Below are 27,684 nucleotides of genomic sequence, written 5' to 3'. Positions count from 1 at the left end.
AAAGCCACTGGCCCTTCCTGCCACTGAAATTGCCACTTTAATTCACAATACTCTAAATCAGAGTTTCTCAACCTCAGCACTACTGGCACTTTAGACCAGATAACTCTTTGTTTGGTGGGGGGAGGGCGGTCCCCTGGGCATTGTAGGATGTTTAGCAGCATCCTTGGTCTCTACCCACTAGATGCTGTAACACTTTCCCCCACCACACCCCCACAGTTGTCACAACAAAAACATCCCAGAATTTGTCATCCCCATTTGAGAAACACTGGTCCAGGGTACATCAATCATAATTTGGGAGAAGTCTTTAGCCAAAAAAGATCATGCCATGACATATAATAACCAGAAATATACATACCATATTACAAAGTTCAAGAGGCATACATCTCCTAACCCCAGTGCATTACCTCTTTGTTCAAATGTGTACAAACCACAAAATACTCCCCACCTCTCACAGGAACAAAATAAAAATAACCAAATATCTATTGGCCAATAATCCTGACCAAGGATGAGCTGTGCCTGTAGTTCAGAAGATCTGGAATCACGTTGGGAAAATGAGACTAATGAAATAAACAGTACTTTTTCCAGAGCAATTCTCATCTTTGAGATGAGACATAATCACAGACAGCAGTGGGTGAGGGCTGCTTGTCTCATATGGAATAAGCTAACAACCACTGTTTGCCATGCATGGTAGGCAAAATAATGGCCCCCAAGTTTCAACGTCCACATCATAATCCCCAGAACCTGTGAGTGTTTCAAGGCAAATGGGACTTTGCAGGTGTGATTAAGAATCTGGAGATAGGGGGATTATCCTGGGTCATCCAAGTGGGCCCAATGTAAATACAAGGGTCCTTAGAAGAGGGAGGCAGGAGAGTCAGAGGAGATGTGAGGCTGGAAGCAGAGGTTAGAGTGATGTGGGGCCACCAGCCAATGAATACAGAAGGAATTCTAGAAGCTAGAAAAAGCAGAGACACATTCTCAACTAGGGCCTTCAGAAGGAACAAGCTCTTGATTTTGGCACAGTGAGACCCAATTCAAACTTCTAACCTCCAGAACTGTAAAATAAAATAATAAATTTGTGTGTGTGTGTGTGTGTGTGTGTGTGTGTGTGTGACCAAGTCTCGCTCTGTCGCCCAGGCTAGAGTGCAGTGGTGCATCCTAGGTTCAAGCAATTCTCGTGCCTTAGCCTCCCAAGTAGCTGGGATTACAGTGCCACCTTGCCTGGCTAATTTTTGTATTTTTAGAGATGGGGTTTCACCATTTTAGCCAGGCTGGTCTTGAACTCCTGACCTCAAGTGATCTGCCCTCCTCAGCCTCCTAAAGTGCTGGGATTACAGGCATGAGCCACCATGCCCGGCCCAAATTTATGTTATTTTAAGCCACAATATTTGCAGTAATTTGCTACAGTAGCCACAGGAAACCAACACACCACCTCTGTATCATGTGAAGTTAGTCCAGTCTCCCAGACCAACTGGTTGCTGGCCACCAATTCTACCTTTACTTTCTAGGGAGGCCATATGGTGTGGCAGTGAAGCCTGAGTACTGTAGGGTTGTGTTCAAAACACAGTTACTTCTGTGTAACATGGACAAGTGATCTGACCTGTCTTGGACAGCCACCCTCAGGGAAGAAAGGGAGATAAGGGCACCCATCCAGTGCTGTGAGAACTCAGTGAAGCAATGCCATGCGAATGGCTTAGCACAGTGCCTGCTGCATGACACCTGCTCTTAGTCTCATCATCCTGACTCTTGCCCATTTCTGTCTCCCCTCCTAGTGTGTCTATGGCGGAGTTCTGAGAGGAACTGGGAAGCAGGCCTTTGGTGCCGCTGTGAATGCCATCACATATTACATCATCGGCCTACCACTGGGCATCCTTCTGACCTTTGTGGTCAGAATGAGAATCATGGGTATGTGGTGTGAGGAAGTCGGGAGAGGCCTGGGTGGTCGTCGGACATTGTTCCCATCATCACTTGTCTCCTCCAGGCCTCTGGCTGGGCATGCTGGCCTGTGTCTTCCTGGCAACTGCTGCCTTTGTTGCTTATACTGCCCGGCTGGACTGGAAGCTTGCTGCAGAGGAGGTAAGTGGGTCAGCTGACCCTGGCCACAAGACACCCTGCACCTGACCCCAGCAGGTGGAGTGACTACTCAGCCAGAAATGCCCAGAGCACATCAGAACTTGGCAGCAGTGTGGTATAAGCTGCAGGTGTTTTTTTTTTTTGTTTGTTTGTTTGTGAGATGGAGTCTCACTCTGTCGCCCAGGCTGGAGTGCAGTGGCGCGATCTCAGCTCACTGCAAGCTCCACTTTCTGGGTACATGCCATTCTCCTGCCTCAGCCTCCCCAGTACCTGGGACTACAGGCACCCGCCACCACGCCCAGCTAATTTTTTGTATTTTTAGTAGAGACGGGGTTTCACCGTGTTAGCCAGGATGGTCTCGATCTCCTGACCTCGTGATCCGCCCACCTTGGCCTCCCAAAGTGCTGGGATTACAGGCGTGCTGCAGGTGTTTTGTGGGGGATTACAGAGGGGCCACCTGAGCCTCAACAGTGGCTCCTGTCACTGTAATTGGCCAGTATAAGAAGCATGCTCTGCAGTTATAAACAGAAACAAAACCAAAAACCTTCCTTAGACAGCCCCATCTGTGGAAAACCAAACAAACGCAAAGAACTCAAACTAGTCTGAACCCAGATGAACCCCCGAGCGTGTGCCTTGACTTTGGAAGGGGTCATAAAATCACCCTGCCCACCATCCTCTTTGATGTCCTTTTTAAACAGGGCAGGGCAGCCTTTGCATCTCAGGCACAGCAAAGGCACAACTCAAGTCTGCAAGCAGAGCACAGAAGCAGTGTTCTCTCAAAGACCCTGAATCCTATCAGGGTGTGGTTTTGCCTTTGTGCACAGAAAAAGTCATCCTGACACTTAAGATGCTGGATAAACAGATATTTAAAATGATACATTTATTTATTTGAGATGGAGTATCGCTCTGTTGCCCAGGATGGAATGCAGTGGTACAATCTCGGCTCAATGCAACCTCTGCCTCCTGGGGTCAAGAGGTTCTCCTGCCTCAGCCTCCTGAGTAGCTGGGACTACAGACATGCGCCACCATGCCCAGCTAATTTTTTAGTATTTTTGGTAGAGACAGGGTTTCACTATATTGCCCAGACTGGCCTTGAATTCCTGAGCTCCAGCAATCCACCCGCCTCGGCCTCCCAAAGTGCTGGGATTACAGGTGTGAGCCACCATGCCCAGCCTTAAAATGATACTTTCTAAAAGCCCCATGACTATGAATACATGCATATATGCTGCTTCAGCTTGCAATGTTTTAAAAACAGAGAATGCGAGGCTAGCAGTGAAGGGGTGAACTGTTGAGCTGGCAGGTTGACCCAATTGAGTTCTTTCTCCTTTAGGCTAAGAAACATTCAGGCCGGCAGCAGCAGCAGAGAGCAGAGAGCACTGCAACCAGACCTGGGCCTGAGAAAGCAGTCCTATCTTCAGGTAATACTGTCACCGCTGCTTCTACTTTGGTACACATATAAATGTCAGTGGCATGTTGCTCTTGTCTGCCCTCTGTGCCTCATGCAATTGGAAATTGTACAAGCCCAAGCTATTTTTCTTCCCATTATTATGAAAATGATGTCCTAAGCACCAGGAAGACAACAACATCTATTGTCTAGCAGGCATGCAAGTACCAGGCCCCACACCAAGTCTTTGGCCTTGAGAGGCAACTAGATGTATGCCCATTTTCAGATGAGGAAGTGAGGCTGAAAGAACTTAGGTATTTCCTCCCTCATCCCACAACTTGTAAAGGCCAGACATAAGATCTGCGCATCAACCCGTCAGATTCAAGAGCCCATGATCTCCCCCACTGAACTCTGCTCAAGACGGAAGGCCAACTTTTAACTTGTGGGGAGCCTGGCTTGTCAGCCAGCCTGGCTTGACTCATTGGCTTTGGGGGGGCACCTGCTATCTACCTCTCTCCACCCCATCAGGCAGACAAACATCTCTCTGGTTTGTGCCCAGTGTCCATGTCATGAAGTGATGGCCCCAGCTCTGCCCCAGGGCTGGTCCTGAGTGCCAGGCGTGTGTGCACATGGCCCAAAGCTCACACAGATGATGTCTCCATGACCTCATCCATCCTGGGCTAATCCTTGATCAGGGCAGTAGTGAGCCAGCTAAAACTCTGGGAGCGTAAGTTGTCATGAGAGAATACGGTAAGACATGATTAATTGTGTTTCCCACGTGCTTTTGAAGCCACAGATCATCACAGGGCCAAGCGTTGACAAGAACACTCCTCATGAGATCCTAGTAGTAAGCATTATCTGCACGTGAAATTCACAGTTTAAGATGCTTTCCTGCATATCTCCTCCTCTGATCTTGCTTGTAAAGTAGATAAAGCAGTTATTTTTCTACTGTATAGGCATCGTCCCTTGTGAGGTGTAACAAACACAGCCAGGTGGTTAACCTAGGTTTCCCGATTCCAAGGCCAAAGCTCTCCCTCTGACCCCTGACCTGCTGAGTTTGCTCCTGTTTGCTTCCGCAGTGGCTACAGGCAGTTCCCCTGGCATTACCTTGACAACGTATTCAAGGTCTGAGTGCCACGTGGACTTCTTCAGGACTCCAGAGGAGGCCCACGCCCTTTCAGCTCCTACCAGCAGACTATCAGTGAAACAGCTGGTCATCCGCCGTGGGGCTGCTCTGGGGGCGGCGTCAGCCACACTGATGGTGGGGCTCACGGTCAGGATCCTAGCCACCAGGCACTAGCAAAGAAGCTTGGAAATAGAAAGCCAGGAGTGGCTGTCCCCAGTATGCAAACACACCACGGTCTGCCCTGCAAAAACACCAATGGGGTCTAGTGCAGGTGGACACTTTGAACCACTCCTCAAAAAAAGAACTTTGGCTGATTCCTTGTGGTGACACTCAGAGGGGTCTGAACAGACTTGACAATTCTGTTCTGGTCAAGCTGGAGTTTTCTTCTGTGACTTGGACTGCTCTACAGAAGACATCAGCCAACTGCACGAGTCAGAGTCCAGGGATTGTCACTATTATTAATAATGTAAATGGCTTCAAATGGGACACTGCAGATAAAATCACAAAAACCACTGTTATATTAAAGATTACACATTTCCTGGGCACAGCCTGCTGCTCAAGTCTGTCATAAAGCCTCTGTGAAGCTCTGAGAAGGGGACCAGTGGGCCCTGTCCAGACAACCCGTGTGCTCCTGGCAGATGCAGGTGCTGTGAGACCCTGACCAGGGCAGTGGCTGTCCATACACCCTTCTTCCCCTTTTCTACAGTTCTTTCATTCCATCAGCATTTTCACTTATCACAGACTTTGAGAAATACTTGTTCTTACTGAACTTTTTCTTCTAGTAGTGACATGATATAAATAAGGGCACAAAACAAGTAGGAACAGAGCACAGCAAAGTCATCATGGAAGCAATTCCAGACTCTATGCCACTGTTTGCCCAAGTGTGGTCCATGGTTAACAGGTATTAAGGTAAACGGCTCCGCGGTCAAGGAAGTCTGGGAGCTGCACACACTAGCACTTCAGAGGTTCCAAATGACCTGGGTCCTTTAGTTTGCTGATGTGCTTTACAAGCCAGTGGTATACAGGACTGGTGGCAGGACCATTTTTTTGTGTAAAATCTTGCGGGATTAGTGTTCTACAAATATGCTTACAGAAACACTTGTTCTAGATCAGCAACTGGGGGTAGGAGGATGCCACTGGAAAAACCTATTTACTATAGCTACTAACCACCACCCCCAACACACACAGCAGAACATAAAGTTTGAGAAAATCTTCTCAGCTAAGAATTTTAAAATGAGAAAAAAAAAGTTGACAAATACCATCTATGATAAAGACATAAAATGATTTATAGTTGGGGAGAATTTATGATCAAAGGATTGTCTCCAATAGGGTATATCTGAGGTTCCATACCAGGAGCGTCATTAAAATTGATGCCAATTTTATGAAATATGTTCATTTTGAAGCAGATGTGTATTAGTAGACAAGCCAATAATTTAAACATACTCAATGAAAATTCCATAGTGCAATTTTATCTAAGGTATTTTATGATTACTCTCTTAGAGCCACAGTTTTAAGCAGCTTTTTCCTAAACTAGGCTCGTTATTAATTTTCAACACTTCATACTATGATGAAGACATCACATACTTTAGACAGCCTTAATAGAACAAATTATTCAACAAAGTTGATTATACGTTCTATAAAGTAAATCACATTCTCTCATTGAGTGAGCTGAGTCTTTTTGAGTGTGGGGACAGAGTCCCTGCAGTCAGGAGCTCCAAGGCATAGAACTGCCTGCCCTGCTCTGTCCAGCAGGTAATGCTGCATTCCACAGGCCTCTTCTTCAGCCTTGCCCACTCAGCAGAGTACCTCAGGTTGTGACCATGAACGACTGATGAGAGTAACTTCTGACTTGCTCAGGGGATCCTCTTGCCATCAATTCCCTTCAGTATGACCAACCGCAGTGGCTTACTCGCTTCTTGTCCAGACCATCCACCATCTGTCTGCCCCATGATGCTCTCAAACCCCAAAGTCCTAATATCCCAGGCCTCTTTGTCTGTGAGAGGAAATGGTTCCCTCACTTTAAGTTCTGTAGGCTAATCAGAAAGGGATCTCTCTATAGTTTCAAAAAGTGAAATTTTACTTGCACTACAGAAATAAGAAACTTACAGATTTGTCCTTGAAGACCTACTAACCTGCAACTTTAGGGTCCTGAAAGAGGATTAGTATGTTTATAAGTACTTTTATTACAGTATTTTTTATTTGTTTCGGAGACAGGGTCTTGCTCTGTTGCCCAAGCTGAAGTGCAGTGGTGCAATCACAGCCTGCTGCAGCCTTGGCCTCGCAGGCTCAATCAATCCTCCTGCTTCAGCCTCCTAAGCAGCTGGGAACACAGGCTCATGCCACCACATCTAGCTAATTTTTATTTTTTGATAGAGATGAGGTCTCACTGTGTTGTCCAGGCTGGTCTCAAATTCCTGGACTCAAGCAATCCTCCCACCTCGGCCTCCCAAAGTGCTGGGATTACAGGCATGAGCCACCACGCCCGGCCACAGTATTTTTTAAATGCCAGTTAGGTTTTATAAGATGTAGAATTCTATAACTCCAACACAAGAATGACAGGTGATGCTTGCATGACTTTGGCAACTAACTTCCAGGAAGCCCTAGGATTTACAAGATGCTTTGAGTGACATTAGTCACAAGAGATTGTTGCAACTAAACAGAACACAGGATGATAAAGAATGAATGAGGAAGAATGAAGACCACTGGTGAGATGGCACTTCTGACCAGGGGCCTACTCCTGGAGGTCAAGTCCTTGAGTCCCATTGGAGGAGGAGTAACCCCTCCCTTCCCCACATAGAGTTTTAGTGCCTGAAACCTCACAGGGAACCAAGAAGATCTAATCTCACCTCTCTGGACTACAGAGGACTGCCGGTAGCCCTGGGAAGTACCAAGCTCTTGAAAGCTTCACACAGTGATGGTGGCAGCAGAGGCAGGAAGTGAGCAGTGCCATTAACTGGAGTGAAGGATTCAGTGAGGTTCTGAGACTCCCTTACAACCCCGCAGTTTGTATTTAGTCTAATACATTCTCCTCCCCTAGCTCAAAGTTCCAAGATTTAGATAAGCACAATTTAAGACAGGTTCCCTGAATACCCTATTAGGGAATGTTGGGACGTAGTTGAAATGGCAACTTTTATTAATGATGAATGGCAATGACTTTTAAGTTTGATCACAGAGTGTTTGCATATTTTCTTACTATTTTTGGTATGATTTAAAAATTATTGGTTCATTAACCATTTAAAAGAGGAATAATTCAGTAGAGGCACTAGGAGGTTGAACAGGATCATTCTTCAGTAATATTCTGCCTGGAGAGAGGAAAAAAGGATTCAGTTTACTCAGCTGCTTTAAAAACCTACCCACAACCAGCCTTGCAACACAAGCTCAGCACTGGGACTCAGACACCTCCTGTCTGAAGAGACTCTACATGCATTGTACAAAAAAGGACTACATATCCCTAGGAAGCCTAGGAAGCACGGTTTAGGCCAAAGGATTATGCCCTTCCTCAAAAAACAACAATAACAATAAGAGTAAGACAACGTGATAATGAAGGCTATATTCTGTCCACTGTCAACTAGCTAATGTCAGAGTAGAGACAGAAGATGAGAGTACTAACTTATTATCCTAGCATTTTCAGTAGGAAGCTGAAGTCTCTACATGGAATTCAAAAACTGGTATACAATTTTGTTTCTAAAATTCAAAAGTAGTACTGAATTTAATCCTTCCTATTGAAGACTGAGGAAGGGCTGCTGCAATCTCAAGGTTCAAATGTCATATTTAGTTGTCAAAGGCCTAATGAAATTTATCAACATTAACCTCTTATGTTTCTCGACCTTTTAAAACCCACATCTCCCACAATGCCTTCTGTAGCTTATAAGCTTTATTGGAACTTTACTTTGTGTACAATACTTCTGCTCTAAATCCCTTCTAATTCTAGTAAGGTAATTAATAAAATAAAATCCAAGAGTGTAACAAAATAAGGAAACTATTAAGTACATAAAAGCCATTTCAGAAAAATGTAATTACAATAAATAGACTATTCAGGTAAATATACAGTACAGATTCAAAGTCATTTATTTTAAATAAAAGGTAATTTGATAAAAAGAGGATTAAAAGCTCAGAAAGGAGCAGAAAAGCAGCAAAGTGGAAAAGAAAACCAAATCTCTACCTAGTTCCAGATTGAATCCAAAGAAATATTAACAACTATTAGTAATGAGAATTGAGCGGAAGGGTTGAAAGTGGCCTGGGGAATCACTGACACCTACTCCCTCACCCTGTAGATGAGCAAGCTGAGGCCCAAGAAAGAGCTCAGAAAAGGCCTTGCCCAAGTTCATTGAGCCAGGAATCAAACCACATTTTTTTGTTTCTGCTAAAGGTTTTATATATTGCTGCTTCTTTTATATATTGCTGCTTCTCTAGACCCTCACAGAGAAACATGCCTGCCAAACCCTTTGGGAACTCGAACCTGCCTGGCACACTGCACTGCACCTGAGGGAGGCTTCTTGGGGGTTTGGTAAGATTGGAGAATGCAGACTCAGCCTGGGCCTCCGTATTTTCCATGAGGCTAAAATATTCTATCCTACCAAGATGCATTATCAAACTGAGGAACCGAGGTCTTGGGAAAAGAACAAAAGAGACAGATATTGACCAGAGACCCAAGTAAGCTTCCGACCACACCTCCAGCCTCAGGAAGGCAAAGAAAGTAGCCCCTAAATTGTATACTACACCTTGATTTCACGACATTTGCTGCCATGAATTCCAAAGTCAAACCTTTTTTTAAAAATGAAAACAAATCAAAACTACTTAGTGATTTAAAAAACATATTCTTAAATTATGACATAAAGAGTTCAGTGCCTAGATGGTGACAAGTCTGAATTAGTCAGCTGGCACCTCCCCCAGGAGAGCTGAGTAGAAGGGGAAGAGAAATGAGGCTCACACTCAGCTGCCCTTTTCCAAGAAATGATGTATGCTTCACCTGGACGCAGCTAAGCCATTGCCTCTGCACACTTCTCTTAGATTCCTAGCAAGTCACTTCACCCTTTTAAAATTGTGGATAAGTGGAGTTTTAACACCCTGATACTCTGGGCCCAGGTCCAAAATGTCTAGAGATAAGTAAGTTAAACATTCTTTTTTCTTTCTTTTTTTTTGGAGACGGAGTCTTGCTCTGTCACCCAGGGTGGAGTGCAGTGGCACAATCTTGGCTCACTGCAACCTCTGCCTCCCGGGTTAAAGCAATTCTCCTGCCTCAGCCTCCCTAGTAGCTGGGACTACAGTCACGTACCACCACACCCAGCTAACGTTTGTATTTTTAGTAGAGATGGGGTTTCACCATGTTGGCCAGGCTGTTCTCGAACTCCGGAACTCAGGCAATCCACCTGCCTTGGCCTCCCAAAGTGCTAGGATTACAGGCGTGAGCCACTGCGCCCGGCCCATTCTTTTTTCAATAACCCTTAAGCCTCCAACTGTAGCAAAAAAAAAACAAAAATAAAAACAAAAACAAAAACAAAAACAAAAACAAACCAAAAAACCCTTGAAAACATACCCCAACTTGGCCCACCTTACATATAGAAAGAAAACAAAAAGTTCCTACCTCACTCTTAACAGACAGGGCTGGGTTTTGAAATCTGGTGTTCATCTCTGCTTACTGGACCAACGCAGTCTGTGAACTACCAGAAAAATCAACAGGGCCTTTCTCCTCAGCACAGCTTGGTATTTCTGAGAAAACCCAAATGATTTCAAATGCAACTGGTATCTCCAATTCCACTAAGGCTGGGATACTGTAAGATGAGCCAAACCCCTTTCAAATTTTTGTTGTTGTTGTTGTTGAGATGGAGTCTCGCTCTATTGCCCAGGCTGGAGTGCAGTGGCATGATCTTGGCTCACTGCAACCTCCACCTCCCGGGTTCAAGTGATTCTCCTCCCTCAGCCTCCCGAGTAGCTGGGACTACAGGTGCGTGCCACCATGCCTGGCTAATTTTTGTATTTTTAGTAGAGACAGGGTTTCACCATATTGGTCAGGCTGGTCTTGAACTCCTGACCTCGTGATTCCCCTGCCTCAGCCTCCCGAAGTGCTAGGATTACAGGTGTGAGCCACTGCGCCGGCCCCCTTTCAAATTTTAAACAAAACATAAACACAACTATTACCATTGCCTTTTCCAAGCCCATTCTTCACTGATATGGTCAATATTTTCAATGTTATATCCTCAGTTGAACGGCTGAGGGCACCACAGACACAATTGCCTTCCTCATTCCATCTTAACTTTAATTACGGATTTCCTCTTTCATCTCAAAATACGCAAACTGCTTTGAGAAGGCAGCTATCATGAGGGCCTCTTTGCAAGCCCATCCCTATAATGACTAATCACCAAAGATAAACTTTATCAGGTAGTGAACTTTGGAGGAAAAAAACTCAAGCCTAATAAAATATCCCTCACCAAAGCTGTTGTACCAGAGTTCTTGCCTTCACCTCTGTGGTAAGCTGATTTCATGCACATTCAAGAACAAAGCTGTAAGTGACAAGGAAAGTCCAATACCAAAAGGATCAAAGGGCTAACCCTTTGATCAGACAGCTCAGAATTCTGCAATCAAGTTCTACGCTGTTTTAATCTCTTAGACCAGAGATCAGCAAACTTTTCTGTAATAATTTAGGCTCTGAGGGCCATTCAGCCTCTGTTGCAACTACTCAGCTCTGTCACTGTCCCATGAAAGCAGCTGTGGATGATTAAACAAGTGGGTGTGGCTGTGTTCCAATAACTTCAGTGACAAAAACGGGTAGCTGGCCAGCAGGCTGTGGTTCACTGACCCTGTCTTAGACTCTACAAGTTAATGTAGAGTCCTGCTAGAATATGCATCTGGCAGCCATCAGGCCAGGACCAGACTGAATGGCACTCATGGGTTATAGGGACTCACCTTGACAAGCACAGCGGCTACAATACCCAGGAAAGTGAGCAACAGGAGACCGAGTTTTTCTTTGTTGAACCGTTTCAAGAGAAAAAATTTTCCCCAATCCACCTTTGACTGGCTGTTGGGAGGATATCTGAGTTTGTTAGCACCTTCTCTCTTTAAACTTTTTAATAAACAGGGACGCTGATGAGAAAAAGTATCAAAACTATGTTTTCCGTGATAAGCTCCCATCCCACTGGAACCTGAAATAAAGGGAACAGACAAAACAAGCTTCACTGTAGATGATGCAAGCTACTTCTGTCTAACAACGACCGGGAAAGCTCACATGCACTCCCTGCTGCCTGGGAACCCCACTGAACATCTCTGCCAGCTGAAGTATCTCTTTTCAGGAAGTCCTTACCAACTTCCCTGGAAAAGTCAATTTCCCTGTCAAACAGGATGCTTTCCATGAGCAAGACAAGGACTTGCACCTCTTCTAGAGCTGTGGCTCTCATTTATGCCAGGGACTGTGCTAAGAGTTAAATCATTCTCTTAAGATAATTCTCACCACAATCCCACTTGGTGAATTATCAGCAGCCTCATTTCCAGAGAGGGAAAGGGAGCTTACAGGGTCAGTTAACCTGCCCAGGGTCACACGGCTGCTAAGTGGCAAAGCCAGAACCCGAACCTGGATCAGACTCTAAATGCTATATGTGCTCTCTTCCCACCATCCCATGTGGCTTCATTCATCCATGGCCCCACACACCCACTTGCTTTCTCAAAGCCTGTGGAAAGTAAGACAGGGCAACAAGGTTGCACAGCTGGATGATAATAAGCAAGTGTAAATCTCTGCCCTCCACAAAGCCATGCTCTGTGACAGTTTCATTTCTCTAATTCATTGTGTGTACAACAGACTGACAGGCACAAAGCGGAGCAGTGTGAGCTGGGCAGAGGGAATGGCATGTGTGATATAAGACACAGGTGACCAGAGGCCAGGGAGCAGTTTACCAAGGCCAGGCTGCAGGAAGGAATCATTCATGAAGCAGGCCTGGTGTGAGAAGAGACCCAAGGACAAGACCATGAGAAACCCTAACTCTGAGGGAGGGTAAAGAATGAGGGAGGGGGCCGGGTGCGGTGGCTCACGCCTGTAATCCCAGCACTTTGGGAGGCCAAGGCGGGTGGATCACAAGGTCAAGAGATCAAGACCATCCTGGCCAACATCGTTAAATCCCGTCTCTACTAAAAATACAAAAATTAGTTGGACGTGGTGGCGCACGCCTGTAGTCCCAGCTACCTGGGAGGCTGAGGTAGGAGAATTGCTTGAACCTGGGAGGCGGAGGTTGCAGTGAGCTGAGATCGCGCCACTGCACTCCAGCCTGGGCGACAGAGCGAGACTCCGTCTCAAAAAAAAAAAAAAAAAGAATAAGGGAGGGGCGAGCCAAAGACATAACCAAGGTAGTAAGAAACTGGGAAAAATTTGGGAGGCTGATGCAGGAGGATTGCTTGAGCCCAGGAGTTCAAAGTTGCAGTGAGCTATGATTGTGCCACACTGCATTCCAGCCTGGTCAACAGAGTGAGACCCTGTCTCAAAAAATAAATAAAAAGCAAAAAACTGACATGAAGGAAATTACAAAGTTTTGTTGAAAGATATAAAAGGGCTATATAAATGAAGAGATGATATAACATATTCCCATTAAGACTCCACATTTTAAAGATATAAATTCTTCCCAAAATAATTTAAGTTTAAATCAATTTTAATAAAAATCCTAGGGGATTTCGGAAGGTTTTGTTTGTTTGTTTTAAGTAGGAGGAGGTAGTGATTCCAAAGATCATCTGGAAAAATAAATTTAGATAAGAACAAGCAAGAAAACATCGAAAAACAGTAATAATGAGGAGCTTTTACTTTTAGGTATTGAAATAGTACTGTGTCCTAAAGAGCAAACTACTGGATTGGTTGAATATGTGGGTTTTGGAGCCAGACAACTTTGGCTCATTTCTTGGCTTTACTACTTATTAGTTGTCTGTCTCTAAAATGCGTGCATTTGACCGGGCACGGTGGCTCACACCTGTAATCCCAGCACGTTGGGAGGCTGAGGTGGGAGGATTGCTTGAGCCCAGGAATTCAAGACCAGCCTGGGCAACACAGTGAGACCCCGCCTCTATACAAAAAAAATTTTTTTAATTAGCCAGGCATGGTGGTGCACCCTTGTAATCCCAGCTATTCAGGAGGCTGAGGCGGGAAGATTGTTTGAGCCTAAGAGGTTGAGGCTGCAATGAGCCGTGATTGCACCACTGTACTCTGGCTTGGGTGACAGAGTGAGACCCTATCTCAAACAAGAAAAAAAAGAAAAGAAAAGGCGTGGATTCAACCGCAGTACCTGGCATACAATAAGCACTTACTAAATGTCACTTATAAAGCTAACTGTACAACTACTGTAATTGAAACTGTGGTACTGGCCCACGGAAAAAACAAACCAGAAAGATAATGCAACCAATGAGAAAACCCTAAGAATGACCCAAACGTGTTTTTATTGAGTACTGATGGTATAAGGATGATTATTTCAAAAAATGGTGCCAGCATAGTTTACTCTTTGGGAAAAAAAAGGTAAATTATTACATCATGCAGCGTATGGCATTCTAAAGTGAACTCCAGGGTGTTTTTTTTGTTTGTTTGTTTTTTTGAGATGGAGTCTCGCTCTGTTGCCCAGGCTGGAGTGCAGTGGCATGATCTTGGCTCACTGCAGCCTCCGCCTCCCAGGTTCAAGCGATTCTTCTGCCTCAGCCTCCCAAGTAGCTGGGACTACATGTGCATGCCACAATGCCCAGCTAATTTTTTTTTTTGTATTTTTTGTGGAGATGAGTTTTCACCATGTTGGCCAGGCTGGTCTCAAGATTCTGACCTCGGGTGATCTACCTGCCTCGGCCTCCCAAAGTGCTGGGATTATAGGTGTGAGCCACCATGCTTGGCCAACTCCATGGTTAAATGGAAAGAAAAGAAAAGAAAAAAGAAAAGAAAAGAAGAAAAGGAGGGAGGGAGGGAAGGAAACTACAGATAATATTTAATTATTTATTTATTTTATTCTTATTTTTTTGAGACAGAGTCTCGCTCTGTTGCCCAAGCTGGAGGTACAGTGGTGCACTCTCTGCTCACTGCAACCTCCGCCTCCAGGGTTCAAGTGATTCTACTGCCTCAGCCTCCTAAGTAGCTGGGATTACAGGTGGTGCCGCCACACCCAGCTAATTTTTTGTATTTTTAGTAGAGACGGGGTTTCACCATGTTAGCCAGGTGCCTTGGCCTCCCCAAGTGCTGGGATTACAGGTGTGTGCAACCGCACCCAGCCTACAGATGATATTTATATAATAATGAAATAGGGAAAGCTTTTCTAAGCCTACTTTCCAAATCGGAAACCAAAAAACAAAAAGCCACACAGGCTTAGGCCAGATGTGGTGGCTCATGCCTGTAATCCCAGCACTTTGGGAGGCTAAGGCAGGTGGATCACCTGAGATCAGGAGTTGAGGACCAGCCTGGCCAACATGGTGAGACCCCATCTCTACTAAAACTACAAAAATTAGGTAGGAGTGGTGTCGGGTGCCTGTAATCCCAGCTACTTGGGAGGTTGGGGCAGGAGAATTGCTTGAAGCCAGGAGTCAGAGGTTGCAATGAACCGAGGTCGCGCCATTGCACTCCACCCTGGGTGACAGAGTGAGACTCTGTCTCTAAATAAATAAACGCTTCAAATCATAGATAAAATTAAAAGAAAAATTAAAATCTGGAAAGGGATATGTATTACAGATAGGACTGAGGATTTTCTTACTTATAAAAAAGGCTATTTATATACCAATAATAAGGAAGATGTGAACACAGCAAAAATATCAAAGGACATAAATAGAAAATTCATGAGAGTGGTAAAAAAAATTCAAACTCACTAATAATCAAAGGAGTACAAATTGAAATGAGACCCTTTTCTGTCTAGAAATTTAATAATGGAATAATCCAGAATTGGGGATATAAGGAAGTAAACACTCATATACTGATCATGGGAATATAAAGTGGCAGAAATCTGCAAAGACACTTGAAATATCTATCAAAAGTCTTAAAGAGAAGCATTTCTAAAGAAAAACCTAGGCTGGGTGCGATGGCTCACACCTGTAATCCCAGCACTTTGGGAGGCCAAGGCAAGTGGATCTCTTGAGCCCAGGAGTTTGAGACCAGGCTGGCTAACATGGCAAAACCGTGTCTCTACTAAAAATACAAAAATTAGCTGGGCCTGGTGGCACACACCTGTAGTTCCAGCTACTTGGGAGGCTGAGCCAGGAGAATTGCTAGAACCCAGGAGTTGGAGGTTGCAATGAGCTGAGATCACACCACTGCACTCCAGCTTAGGTGACAGGGAGTCTCAGTCTCGATAAAAAGAAAAAAAAAAGAAAAATCTAAACTATATGCCAAAATATTAAAAAGTTTAACTGTTTAGACTTTTTGCCACTGTGTCTATATTACTTTGAGAATTAGAAGAAAAAAGCATTTTTTTCAATTTGGAAAATTGTATAAGCCCTTTTAACAGAGTAATTACACTTGTAGACATTTTTCCTAAAGAAATAATCAGAGATTGCATAAAGATACATTATATAAGAATCGTAATACCAAAAAAATTGAAATCACAAAAATCTAATACTGGGAATTGGTTACATAAATATGCCACATTCATATGATGGAAAAGTATGCAGCTACTAAAATTATGACATGCAAGAATATTGACATGGAAAAGTGTCACACTATTCTGTCACATACAGGGTACAGAACAATATATAGTATGATACCTTTTTGAATAGAATATTCAGATGACCGTGTATATGTGTGTGCATATGTGTGCAAGACATATACCAGTTATCTTTACATAGTGGGGTTATGGGTAATATAAATGTTTATTCTTTGGGCTCTTCTATCTTTTCCAAGTTTTCTTAAAAAGCCTGTATTCTTTTTACATTTGGGGGTCAAGGCTTGTTTTTATTTTTTATTTTTATTTTTTTACAGCATGGCCACTATAATAATGTATTATATGCCTGAAATTTGCTAAGAGAGTAAACCTGTTTTTTTCTTTTGCATCTTCTTTTTGTATTTTTAATTTTTGTGGGTATATAATAGGTTGCTTGTTTTATTTTATTATTTTTATTTATTTATTTATTTATTTATTTATTTATTTATTTTGAGATCGGAGTCTCGCTCTGTTTGCCAGGTTTGAGTGCAGTGGCGCAATCTCAGCTCACTGCAACCTCCACCTCCCTGGTTCAAGCAATTCTCCTGCCTCAGCCTCCCTGGTAGCTGGGACTACAGGCACGCACCACCACACCCAGCTAACATTTGTATTTTTAGTAGAGATGGGGTTTCACCATGTTGGCCAGGCTGGTCTGGAACTCCTGACCTCAAGTGATCCACCCACCTCGGCCTCCCAAAGTGCTGGGATTACAGGCATGAGCCACTGCGCCCAGCCTTGTTTTGTTTTAAATAAGATGGTATAGTCAATGATGCCACAGGCTATCTTGTCAAGTAGGACAGGGACTGAACCCAAGTCACTTAGATTTGCAATTAGAGGGCAGTGGAGACACCATATGGAACAATTACCGAGTTGATTACTGCACTAGCACAGTGGATGCCAGGATCCTATGTGGTGAGCTGAGGAACAGAGACAACAGAGTCCAATCTTTTAAGCATTTGGGCTACAAAACTATTACTTACTCCAGCCAAAATCCCAGGAGTCATCCTCTCTCATTCACCCCCTCCTCCAACATTCACTCCATCAGCCAATCCTGCTGCTTGATCCCAAAAATACCCCCTTCCCTTTCCACTATCTCCCCTGCTACCACCCTCTACAAGCCACCACCATTTCCAATTTGGATCTGGCAATACCTACCAATTGGCCTCTTCCCGCCTGTCCCTCACTCATGTCAGTCACTGTGCTGGGTGCTGGCAATATGTTTACCTCCTAGACAAGGACCTGTGGCTATATAGGTCAAGGCTCCTTGGTCATAGGACAAGGTTTCCTTAACCAGGAACAGATGGTCCTGCCAAACTGGGCCATCGCATCCCATGGAGCAACTGACTTAGGACGGTATTACAAAGGGAGAGGATAGAACAGGGCTTTAAGACAGTGGCTTTTCTGGTTGGGTTTTTGTTATGAGAATGTTTACATATCGGCTATTTTGTAATAGCTCTAGTAGAGAGTAGAAAAGCCCACCTAGCCTAGGTCCCAAAGGAGAAATAAAAAGCTGAGTCAGTCATCTCACATGTGGGAGAGGCAGGCAGGTCATGTTCTAAAGGGAAAAGCAAGGATCAGGCTATGTCCACAAAGCTTCACTTGGAATGAATTTCTTTCTGCCCATCCTCTCTAGAACAGGGGGAGTCCCGTTTTACTCAAATCACAAAACAATTCAAGGAGAGGCTGCTCCTCCCAACAAAGGGCTGGGGAACAATGCAGGTAAGAACTGAGCAGAAAACAAAGGCACATTAGAAAACCCCTCTACCTTCTGTCCCTGGTATTCCGAACCTTTCATTTGCTACTTCATTAAACACACACACCACACACACACACACACACACACACACACACACGAAGAGAGATCTTCTTAATTAATTTGAGACCTGATTCTTGGTTCCCAAATCTCCTAAATGTGGCAGGATAACAAAATCAACGAAGTGAACAAAGCTGTGGTCAGTCAGTGCTGCTGACAGAAAGAGAGTGACAAGACATTTGCCCTATGCTGGAGGGGTGGGTGGGGAAGCAGGAAAACCAGTCAACTGGGTGACCAGGAAAAGGTCTCCCTCAGGAGAGGACAATCAGGGTACGCAACAGCTGGCTATTTCAGCAGCCCATACAATCCACTCATGAAATGGTGGTGCTTTTGAAATATCTACTACAAGCAGGAGAAAATAAGACTCACCCACTCCTCCAAATGGGAAAGAGTTGAGCGTGAAGTGCATAATGACGTCATTGCCTGTGACACCTCCACTGGATGTCTCATCAATCATCCGTTTGATGAGCTGAGGACAGACCAAAGGTGTCCAGGTCAGTGAAGTTGCCCCTTAGGGAACACTCATGGCCCCACCACACAGAGGGCTGTGTGCTCAGTTATGTGCTCAAAGCATGCACATTCTGGCTTTGTGTCAGTGAAAATTCTCGAGTTTGGGGACACCATGCCAGATAGACAAACAATCTCAACTGGTTAATTTAGCAAAGTGACTGATACCCAACTTCTCAGACACACATCTAGTGCACAAAAGGAGGCAGCTCCAAACCTCTGGGCCTACTCAGCCACAACCTGGAGTTGTACTCCCCAACACAGCAGCAAAAGACTCTTTAAAAGGGGACAGCTTAGACTATATTCCAGCTTTAAAAACTGTTATTATTTCTTTCTTATCTCTGCTTTAAATTATAACACATGATTAATAGGTATTATTTAGTCTTTATGAAATGTAAAAATATTTAAGACTTTAGATTTAGCATCCTATTTTTTAAGAAATAAATGGTTGTTTGGCCTAAGGCTCAGAAAAGCACAAGAACACTTGACTAGTAAACGTCATTTACCCTTGGGTGCCAGCAAGCCCTTGACAATTGTTCATGGCAAACGTCAAGTCTGGACTATAGTGACCTCGGGTGACCCACTGCTGGGAAGTGCTCCACACCTGACTTATACCCTGGCCAGCCTACTTTCGGCTTCAGGGTTCCTTCCTGCCCACATTATCCATGGTTTTAAATGTCAAACCATTGTTTTGTTAATAACCCAGTCTTTACTGAGCCCCACACATTTGGTCTCACTTCAAATACCTGTAGCTATCTGTATCTCAATAGTCTCACAAGCTCCAAAAGCTGTCACATGACTATCTATACATTACCATCAGAAGCTCTCCAGAAAACATTTGGGCCATGGTCTCTTAGTAGCGGCTGGTCACCTAGTGACATGAATGAGTGAGCCATGCAGAAAGTGGCAGAACTGCTCAACCAGGTGATGCAGTTCCACCACTCTAACAAGAAGCTAGCGTCATGTTAGAAACTAAAATCCATCATATCACAACCATTTATGTGACAGTGTCGGGGTCTTTGTCCCACACAGTGGGTGTGAATGCCATTTTGTGCAGGCTGTTATTCAGCAATGCCCTGTGGATTAACATCAGAAAAGCATTTAATGCTGGCACATATAAGTCTTCCAATTATACAGGAGATGTTTGTGAATCAAAAACCTTGTGACACTCAACCCTGCAGACTCAGATCTAACCCGAGGGAGGAGGGGAATGGATGCTGTGATAACCCCAGAGTCTCATTAACCAAGACAGCAACCTCGGAACACAACCTCACTTAGTGGATGGACTCTGACATGACACAAAAGAAACCATCATTGTTTCACATTGTTTTTTGCATTGTTTTACAGCAAAGAAGGAACATGACTCTTGACAGTTGCTTATGCTAACTAGCTGTTCTCTCTAAAGCTTACCTTATGGTTATGCGAAAATACATAAAGAGCCAGAGGCTTTTCACGTTCATTTATGAAATTTATGGCCTCATCTACATTTTTCACAGGCACTATTGGAAGAATTGGTCCAAAAATTTCTTCTTGCATCACCTTGGTTTTAGGATCAACATCGGTAAGTACTGTTGGGGCTAAAAAGAAAATAAACAAAATGAAAATGCTTATTAGACAAAAATGCACAACTCTCATATTACATCTCTTTCATTGGGTCACTTATCCATGCCTTTCCCTCTCCCACCCAAGTCATATCTATTGAAAAATCCTGAGCACGTGGATGAACTGTGCACATACTCAATGTCTCCAAAGCCTGTGAATCACAACCCTGCGGATACTTGTGCAAACCAAGGGAACGATACACACTCAAATATATCTTTTTCACATTGAACCCTGTTCACAGCCATGCATGTATTTAACTGTAGATTATACTTAACATTTTTCTGTGGACAGGTTTTTTTTTTGAGATGGAGTTTCGCCCTTGTTGCCCAGGCTGGAGTGCAATGGTGCCATCTCGGCTCACTGCAACCTCCGCCTCTGGAGTTCAAGTGATTCTCCTGTCTCAGCCTCCCGAGTAGCTGGGATTACAGGCATGCACCACCACGCCCGGCTAGTTTTGTATTTTTAGTAGAGATGAGGTTTCTCCATGTTGGGTCAGGCTGGTCTCGAATGGACAGGTCTTTCTAGGAGCAAAGACAGCTCCTCTGTGAATCAAATCAATACTATTTTTCTTAACTCGAGTGCTTTCATATATATGATCTCATTAACCTTTATTATAACTCTGTTAGACAGATTAAGAAAACAGACTTAAATGGTCAAAATTCCCTAAACCTTAGTCCACTGTTCCATCTACCATGGGGAAGAGGCACAAGAAAGGAGGGTGAAACAGATGCTGGGGAGGCTAGACAAAGTGTCCCAGCATCTGCTGCCAATGTAAGTCACCAACTAGCAGTACTCCAAAAGATGCTGTAAGTAAGAAACTGGCTCGTCAACCAAAAGAGAAGTCATCTGACAATAACAAGTTGGCACTTTTCCTTTACCCCCAGTTTCTAATAGGTTATCTTGGCAATGTGGCTGGGGACAGCTTCTTGCAGCACCACTTCCAGGGGGTATATAAACTGCCACTCCAAATCCATTGCCCACATCTTCCTCAGGTCAGAGAAACAATTTGGGCTGAGTGTCTACTTCCTCTGCATAGCCATGCTCAGGTAAGATGATCCCAGCTCGAAGTCAGGGGAAAGTCCTAATTAGTCTATAAGCTAATCAGGATAGCCCCTTCCTCTTACCATTCATTAGCCTAGAAATAGGCAATGTGGACATGCTGAGGATGGGAGAACAGAGAGGTGAAACAAGTAGAGTCTGTTTTCTCTTTTTTCTACAGATGTATTCCCCAATTCAATCTGGGCTGCCACCAAGAGAGATAGAAGGCACAAGGATTGTTTTCTTTTGCATCCTAGTACAAAGAATCAGGGTTTTTTGATGGTACCACGGGGCCACTGAATTATCTAGCTCAGGAGAACCTCGGGACTGCTAATTATAAGAGAATCAATTCTGCTTATTATTTCATTTTTAAGTTTTTTTTTTTAAAGTTGATTTTTTTTTTTTTGGTGACTTATAGCATCTTATCTGATAAAGGGGATAAGTAAAGCTAGGTGGTGCAGCTTCTTTGCCAGCAAAATGTGTCTAATTTTTCTGTCACCTTATATGTTACTGTAGAAAAATGTGCTTAACATTCAAAGTAATACATATTCAAGGCAAAGAAGAAAAAGCACAAAGAAGGTACACAAATAATAAGGTCAAGCATGATGGACCAAAACATTATTTCTGGAATGGTACCGTCACTGGTTAATTGTGGAATAGTGGCCAAGCTATTTCCTTCTTTGTGCTGTTTTCCCATCCACAAACTACAGATAATTACATCAAGTTCTATTCTGCTTCTCAGGATTGTTAGGAGGAAAAAAGGAGTTATGTGTAAATATGAACAACTGGAGCAACGCTGGTGGCATCATTCAATACACAGAAACACAGACATTTTAAATAGTTTATAACAAAAGCTACAGGTACAGTATACCAGAAAGCAGGATTTAGTACTTTAACAATTAAATGCTATATATTTAATAGTTTATCTAGTGTTAATAAGTAGTGTCAGCAAAAACTGCCAAATTGCCATCTTCCCATAGGAAAAGGAGAATTTCCATTACCTATGTAGCGTGTGGCCTCATCAGTCTCCCCACCAAAAGCTATCTTTTGTCCTTCAAGCAAACTTAGTATCCTCTTAAAATGACGAAGATTGATGATCCTTTCATAATCAGGAGACTCTTTTATATTTTCTCCATAAAATTCCTATTTAAAACAACAGGAGTATATAAATGTCACAAAGACCCACAATTCAATTTCAGTAAGTACAAAATCCAGCCATGCCCCAAAATCAATCTGGTTTTATATCCTCACAGAATCTAACACCCCACCCCTCAAGTAATTTAACAGTAGTATGATAGTAGCAAGTTTCAGCTTTTTGGCAGGTCGAGGACCAGAAAATAAAGCATGCACACACACAGAGATCTGTCATTGTCCATAGTTCCAAAGGTTCTTATGGATCTCTTAGAGTCCACCCACAGGCCTTCACCTCCTGGGGCTGACAGTGGGAGCAGGCTGGGGAAAGAAGTCTTGCTCTGCATCAGAGTTGCCTATTTGTTAGCACATTGGCTGTGCCTGCTTTCCCCCTACAGTAAGTTCGGTAGTTACAGCAGAGACCCTAACATCTGCAAAGCCTGAAATATTTACCATCTAGCCCTTTACAGAAACCATTTGCCAATCTTTGCTCCACTTTGTTGTTTTGGTCTTCTTTGAACTGGTATTTCCACCACTTACACATGATGGTGAAACCACCCGAAGGATCAAAATACAGCTTTGGTAAATTACCAAGGTAAAAGAACGTCAATAATCATACAATCAATATTTACTTAGTAAAACAAACAAAATTACTGAATTGCTGCATCACTTCAAAGCCTTGTGAGAGTTCCCAATTTCATCCCAAATCAAAATGAACATTGTTCATCCAACCTCTACCAAGAGCAATTCTCAAGTCTGGGTGGTCGGAATCACTGGTGCAGCTTGCTAAAATGCATGTGCCTGGGCTCTGACTCGAGAGTCACCAACAGTAGTTTTCAATGCTGAATGCATCATAGAATCACCTGGAGGCCTCAGACGAGCTGAATCTTTGGAGGGTAAGGCTTGCAAACTTGTTTTTAAATGGCTCACTAGGGTAACATGTAGCTTGAGAACCACTGTGTTAAGAGTATAAATGCCTCAAAGGGAGGCAGAGGCCCTTATTCCTTTGAAATTGAATTCATCACCACACTCAACTAAGCATTCTCCAATTCCCAAATATTTTCAATCTCACAAGTATCTTTAACCACTCTCTCTTCCCACATACCCTGAATCTGGGCAACTCTCCCTTCATGTGCTCATCTGGATCCATTTTTAGTCCTATGACTAAAAATGATAGTCCAATTTCCATGTCAAGACCCTAGCACCTCATCCCCCAAGTTACTCTGCCTGGAACACATAGTGAACTATTGTCCTGAACTTCCTGGTACATAATTTTCTCTTTTTTTTTTTTTTTTGAGACAGGGTCTCACTCTGTCACCCAGGCTGGAGTCCAGTGGCACATTCTTGGCTCACTGCAGCCTCCGCCTCCCAGGAGGATCAAGCGATCCTCCTACCTCAGCCTGCCAAGTAGCTGGGACCACACGTACACGCCGGTACACCTGAATTTTTGTATTTCTTGTAGCGACAAGATTTTGCTACGTTGCCCAGCTGGTCTTGAATTCCTGGCCTCAAGTGATCTGTCTGCCTTGGCCTTCCAAAGTGCTGGGATTACAGGAGTGAGCCACTGTGCCCAGCCAATTTTCTCTTTTTTTGTTTTTTTGAGACAGAGTCTTATGCTGTCACTCAGGCTGGAGCACAGTGATGCAATAATGGCTCATTGCAGCCTTGAACTCCTGGGCTCAAGTGATCCTTCTGGCTTCAGCCTCCTGAGTAGCTGGGACTACAGGCATGTGCCACCATACCCAGCTAACCTTTTTTTCTTTTGTAGACACAGGGTCTCATTATGTTGACCAGGCTGGTTTTGAACTCCTGGGCTCAAGCGATCTTCCCACCTTAGCCTCCCAAAGTGCTCGGATTACAGGAGTGAACCACCACAACGGCGACAATTTTCATATCTTTTTTTCTTTTGAGATAAAATCTCATTCCGTTACCCAGGCTGGAGTGCAGTAGCATGATCTTGGCTCACTGCAAGCTCCACCTCCCGGGTTCAAGCAATTCTTGTGCCTCAGCCTCCCAAGTAGCTAGAATTATAGGTGCGTGCCACCATGCCCGGCTAATTTTTGTAATTTTAGTAGAGATGGGTTTTGCCATGTTGGCCAAACTGGTCTCTAACTCCTCACCTCAAGTGATCAACCTGTCTTGGCCTCCCAAAGTGCTGGGATTACAGGCGTGAGCCACCATGTCTGGCCAACAATTTTCATTTTCAGATCACATGCATTACTCTTTGGTGTTTTTGATCCTTCCTTTTAGTGCTCAATTAACATCTGTCGAGTAAACAGTGACTGCTCCAATAATTTCTTTCATCTGAGGGGTTAATGATCCTCACCCACTGCTGAACTCAGTCACACTGGTCATTTGGTCATCCCATTCTTCTTTTTTTTTTTTTTTTTAAAGACAGAGTCTTGCTCTGTCGCCCAGGCTGGAGTGCAGTGGCGTGATCTTGGCTCACTGCAACCTTTGCCTCCCGGGTTCAAGCGATTCTTGCCAGGGTTCAAGCAAATCTCGTGCCTTAGCCTCCTGAGTAGCTGGAATTACAGACATGCACCACCATCCCCGGCTGATTTTTTTGTATTTTTAGTAGAGACAGGGTTTCACCATATTGGCCAGGCTGGTCTTGAACTTCTGACCTCAAGTGATCTGCCCCCCTAGGCCCCCCAAAGTGCTGGGATTACAGGCATAAGCCACCGTGCCCAGCCCCCATTCCTTTCTACCAACTTAAATCCTATATTTCTTCAAGTCTTGGCTTAGGACTCTACATGCAGTCTTCCTTGGTTCCCTCACTGCAAATATTTACTTTAAACACGCTGAAAGATTGTTAATTATATAAAGGGTATACTGTAAGTAGTTATTTAATTAAGTCACTCCTCCAAACTACTGGCCACCCTAGGCCCTCTACATACACAAAAACTGATAACCTTCAGCAGCAATGGCCAATATGCCAAAGAGTCTCTCTGATTATACCTAAAGGGTTGGCAACATTCCCTCAAAACCACGGACACACGATTATTTAACTTTTTTAAAAAAAGTATATGCCACAACTAATCATCAACAAATCAACTAGACAGTTTAAGTAGATTTAACACCAATGCAACCTTGCTCCCAGCATATATTCTATGGTACACATAGCATTTTCATATTAGTCAATAAGTTCACTGAGTCACATATGATTTTGAAATTTTCCTGAAGGGAGAAACAAATGGGGATGCTGCCTGCGAATAGTTAATTTGACTCCTTATCTTATTAAAATCAGTGGAATCAGATGTTTTTAATACAAACCTTCACTGTTTCCTTAATCTTCCATACAATTTGATTTTGGAGGGATGCTTCACAGAGAATATAGTCGGGTGCAATGCAGGTTTGGCCACAATTCATGTATTTTCCCCAGGTTATGCGTCTGAGGGGAAAACATCCAGAACAGCTATATAATTCAGTAATTCAGTCAAATATTCATTTGTTACATTGTGTTGTTTGAATGTCTTGCAACTAAAATAGATTCATATATTTATCTGGCAATTTTTATAAAAAAGTTAAAAACTCATTTCTAAATCAGTTGTTTGGAACTTAGAAAGTATTTTCCAAATGAGGTGGAATATTTTACATAGCAGGGAAGTTCTCAGGCCAGCTCACGGCAAACAGTACTTGGTAAACAGTGAAGCCATTGCCTGCTGCAGGAAAAGAGGAGAAACAGCCTCCCAATGTCCTTTCCCCTCTTCCAGTCCAGCCAAAGGAAAGTCCTGGATGACCAGAGTTCGGTACAGACTCTCCTGGTTGTGGCTTTTGGCTCTGCCTGCAAGATGTTCAGGTATAAAGCAGGATGTCAGCCAGCCTCCAAGGCCATCCTCCTCTTTGTGGAGCCCTGCCCCACTTGGGAAGACCTTTCCTATGCATGGGCAGAAACCCATGCCCTAAACATTCACTAACTGAGGGTGTCTGGTTTTGACAAATGGATTTCTACTTAGGAAGCCAACCTGGAACCCTGACCTGGAATCTCTGAAGGGCAGAGAAAGCCACACCACCCAGAGCACAGAGTCAGTTCTATGATTTGGCACTTCTTAGTAGCTAAACCGGATTTAGCAGAGAGAACCTGAAACCTCTTATTTTCTAATTTTCAGATGCAAGATGTTATTCACAGTTAAAAAATGAGGAACACTTGTTTTGCCCACAAAGGATCTCAGTTAAGATATCAGCATAATACCCTCTCAAATGGGCATTTAAAGATTTTATTAGGCACACACAATACTTTGGATTATGTACTTCACAGATCACTGGCCAGAAGAACGTTAAAATTTCTTGCTAGATCTAGCTGTAATCTTGAGAACAGATATAACTTTTTTAAAATTCCTAAGGACAACCACATGATGTCAGGACTTACAGCTCACCATTTTTGACAGTGGCGCCAAGAGACAGTGAAAGACTCCTGTTACTCTTGAGGACATCAACCACCAAAGCTTAATAATGTATCTTGGAGCCATAAGGTATGGGGTTCAAGTACAAAGAGTAACATTGTCAGGAAAAGTCTCCATTGTGCTGGGAAAACCTCAGAAAATCAGAGAGCCAGACTCACCTGCAAACAATGTCCAGGTCACAATCTTTATCAATATAACATGGACTTTTCCCTCCCAGTTCAAGAGTCACAGGGGTCAGATGCTTGGCAGCAGCTTCCATGACAATTTTGCCAACCGCAGTGTTTCCCGTATAGAAAATGTGGTCAAATCGCTGCTTCAGGAGCTCCGTGGTTTCCTCAACACCACCATTAATAACAATATAGAGATCCTCAAAGAAAGAGAAACACAAACTCTTGCACTGCCAAATAAATCCTAACGTCTAACATCAGCAATCTCTTCAACATAAACATGTAACATTCAGTAAAACCCAGAGAGTGTCAAGACCAGTCCCTGTGAGGGATGGGAGAGGGAACTGACCAAGGACAAGAGGAGAACACACAGTCCGATGGCATCTGGGAAGCATGAACCCACATAGAACTAATCTGGAGACTCCAGTGTTTTTTTACATGAGCTCAGCAACAAAGACACTAAGGAGAACAAATGGTTGAATTTGACCAGGGAAAATGCATGAGACGCGGGTGTGTGCAGAAGTGCCTCTGGTGAAGAGTGGCTCCCACAGGACAGGTCATGCATGTCTTAGTCTGAATGTTCTCTGTCTCACAACACAGAGTGGGCTTAGCCCACGCTATTCTGAATGAATGGTATATCCGGCACAGTAGCTGAGAGCGCTTGCTTTTGAAGTGTATCTGGTTTGAATCTGGGCTCTGCCACTCACTAGCTTATGCAACCTTAGGCAAGCTACTGAACATCTCTGAGCCTCAATTTCCTCATCTGTTACTGGGAGAATTCACGTAGCTTCTGTGGACTGAGCCCATCTA

General features: G+C 43.7%; 2 protein-coding genes and 1 pseudogene across 18 annotated transcripts in view, besides 2 other annotated features; 1 reads left to right on the top strand and 2 right to left on the bottom strand.

Moving 5' to 3' along the window:
• SLC47A2 (solute carrier family 47 member 2) overlaps positions 1–5,123 on the top strand; it is a 40,663-nt gene extending 35,540 nt beyond the window's left edge. For 7 of the 8 annotated variants that reach the window (NR_135624.2, NR_135625.3, XM_017024222.3 and 4 more), the window contains 4 exons: positions 1,770–1,902; positions 1,979–2,073; positions 3,401–3,488; positions 4,534–5,123. Coding sequence is in view for 5 of the 8 variants with exons in the window: in XM_017024222.3 (XP_016879711.1) it covers positions 1,770–1,902; positions 1,979–2,073; positions 3,401–3,488; positions 4,534–4,754 (537 nt within the window). In the remaining 3 variants the exon portion in view is untranslated. Of the gene's footprint in view, positions 1–1,769; positions 1,903–1,978; positions 2,074–3,400; positions 3,489–4,533 lie in introns of those variants that run through there. The other variant, XR_001752432.2, reaches the window with a different exon arrangement.
• Positions 2,089–2,590: an enhancer, noted in NCBI's record as "H3K4me1 hESC enhancer chr17:19584163-19584664 (GRCh37/hg19 assembly coordinates)". NCBI's record gives its function as "activates a minimal SCP1, AML or CMV promoter by ChIP-STARR-seq in naive H9 embryonic stem cells {active_cell/tissue: H9 hESC(naive)}" and the evidence as "EXISTENCE:reporter gene assay evidence [ECO:0000049][PMID:30033119]".
• Positions 5,844–27,684, bottom strand: part of ALDH3A2 (aldehyde dehydrogenase 3 family member A2) — a 29,461-nt gene continuing 7,620 nt past the window's right edge. For 4 of the 10 annotated variants that reach the window (NM_001369148.2, NM_001369138.2, NM_000382.3 and 1 more), the window contains 7 exons: positions 26,866–27,074; positions 25,578–25,695; positions 22,172–22,313; positions 19,941–20,107; positions 18,393–18,492; positions 11,484–11,719; positions 5,844–7,882 (listed from right to left, as the gene is read on the bottom strand). In NM_001369148.2, coding sequence (NP_001356077.1) covers positions 7,868–7,882; positions 11,484–11,719; positions 18,393–18,492; positions 19,941–20,107; positions 22,172–22,313; positions 25,578–25,695; positions 26,866–26,966 — 879 coding nt within the window. In that variant the 5' untranslated portion in view covers positions 26,967–27,074 and the 3' untranslated portion in view covers positions 5,844–7,867. Of the gene's footprint in view, positions 7,883–10,164; positions 10,290–11,483; positions 11,720–18,392; positions 18,493–19,940; positions 20,108–22,171; positions 22,314–25,577; positions 25,696–26,865; positions 27,075–27,684 lie in introns of those variants that run through there. The other 6 variants (NM_001369137.2, NM_001031806.2, NM_001369136.1 and 3 more) reach the window with 3 other exon arrangements.
• Positions 18,991–19,492: an enhancer, noted in NCBI's record as "NANOG hESC enhancer chr17:19567261-19567762 (GRCh37/hg19 assembly coordinates)". NCBI's record gives its function as "activates a minimal SCP1, AML or CMV promoter by ChIP-STARR-seq in primed H9 embryonic stem cells {active_cell/tissue: H9 hESC(primed)}" and the evidence as "EXISTENCE:reporter gene assay evidence [ECO:0000049][PMID:30033119]".
• LOC124900397 (uncharacterized) lies at positions 21,350–21,440 on the bottom strand (annotated as a pseudogene).

This window comes from Homo sapiens, chromosome 17, assembly GCF_000001405.40.
Source record: "Homo sapiens chromosome 17, GRCh38.p14 Primary Assembly".
Taxonomy (NCBI): Eukaryota; Metazoa; Chordata; class Mammalia; order Primates; family Hominidae; genus Homo; species Homo sapiens.
Note: the sequence above shows the minus strand (reverse complement) of the source record. Positions and strands in the feature narration are given on the sequence as shown.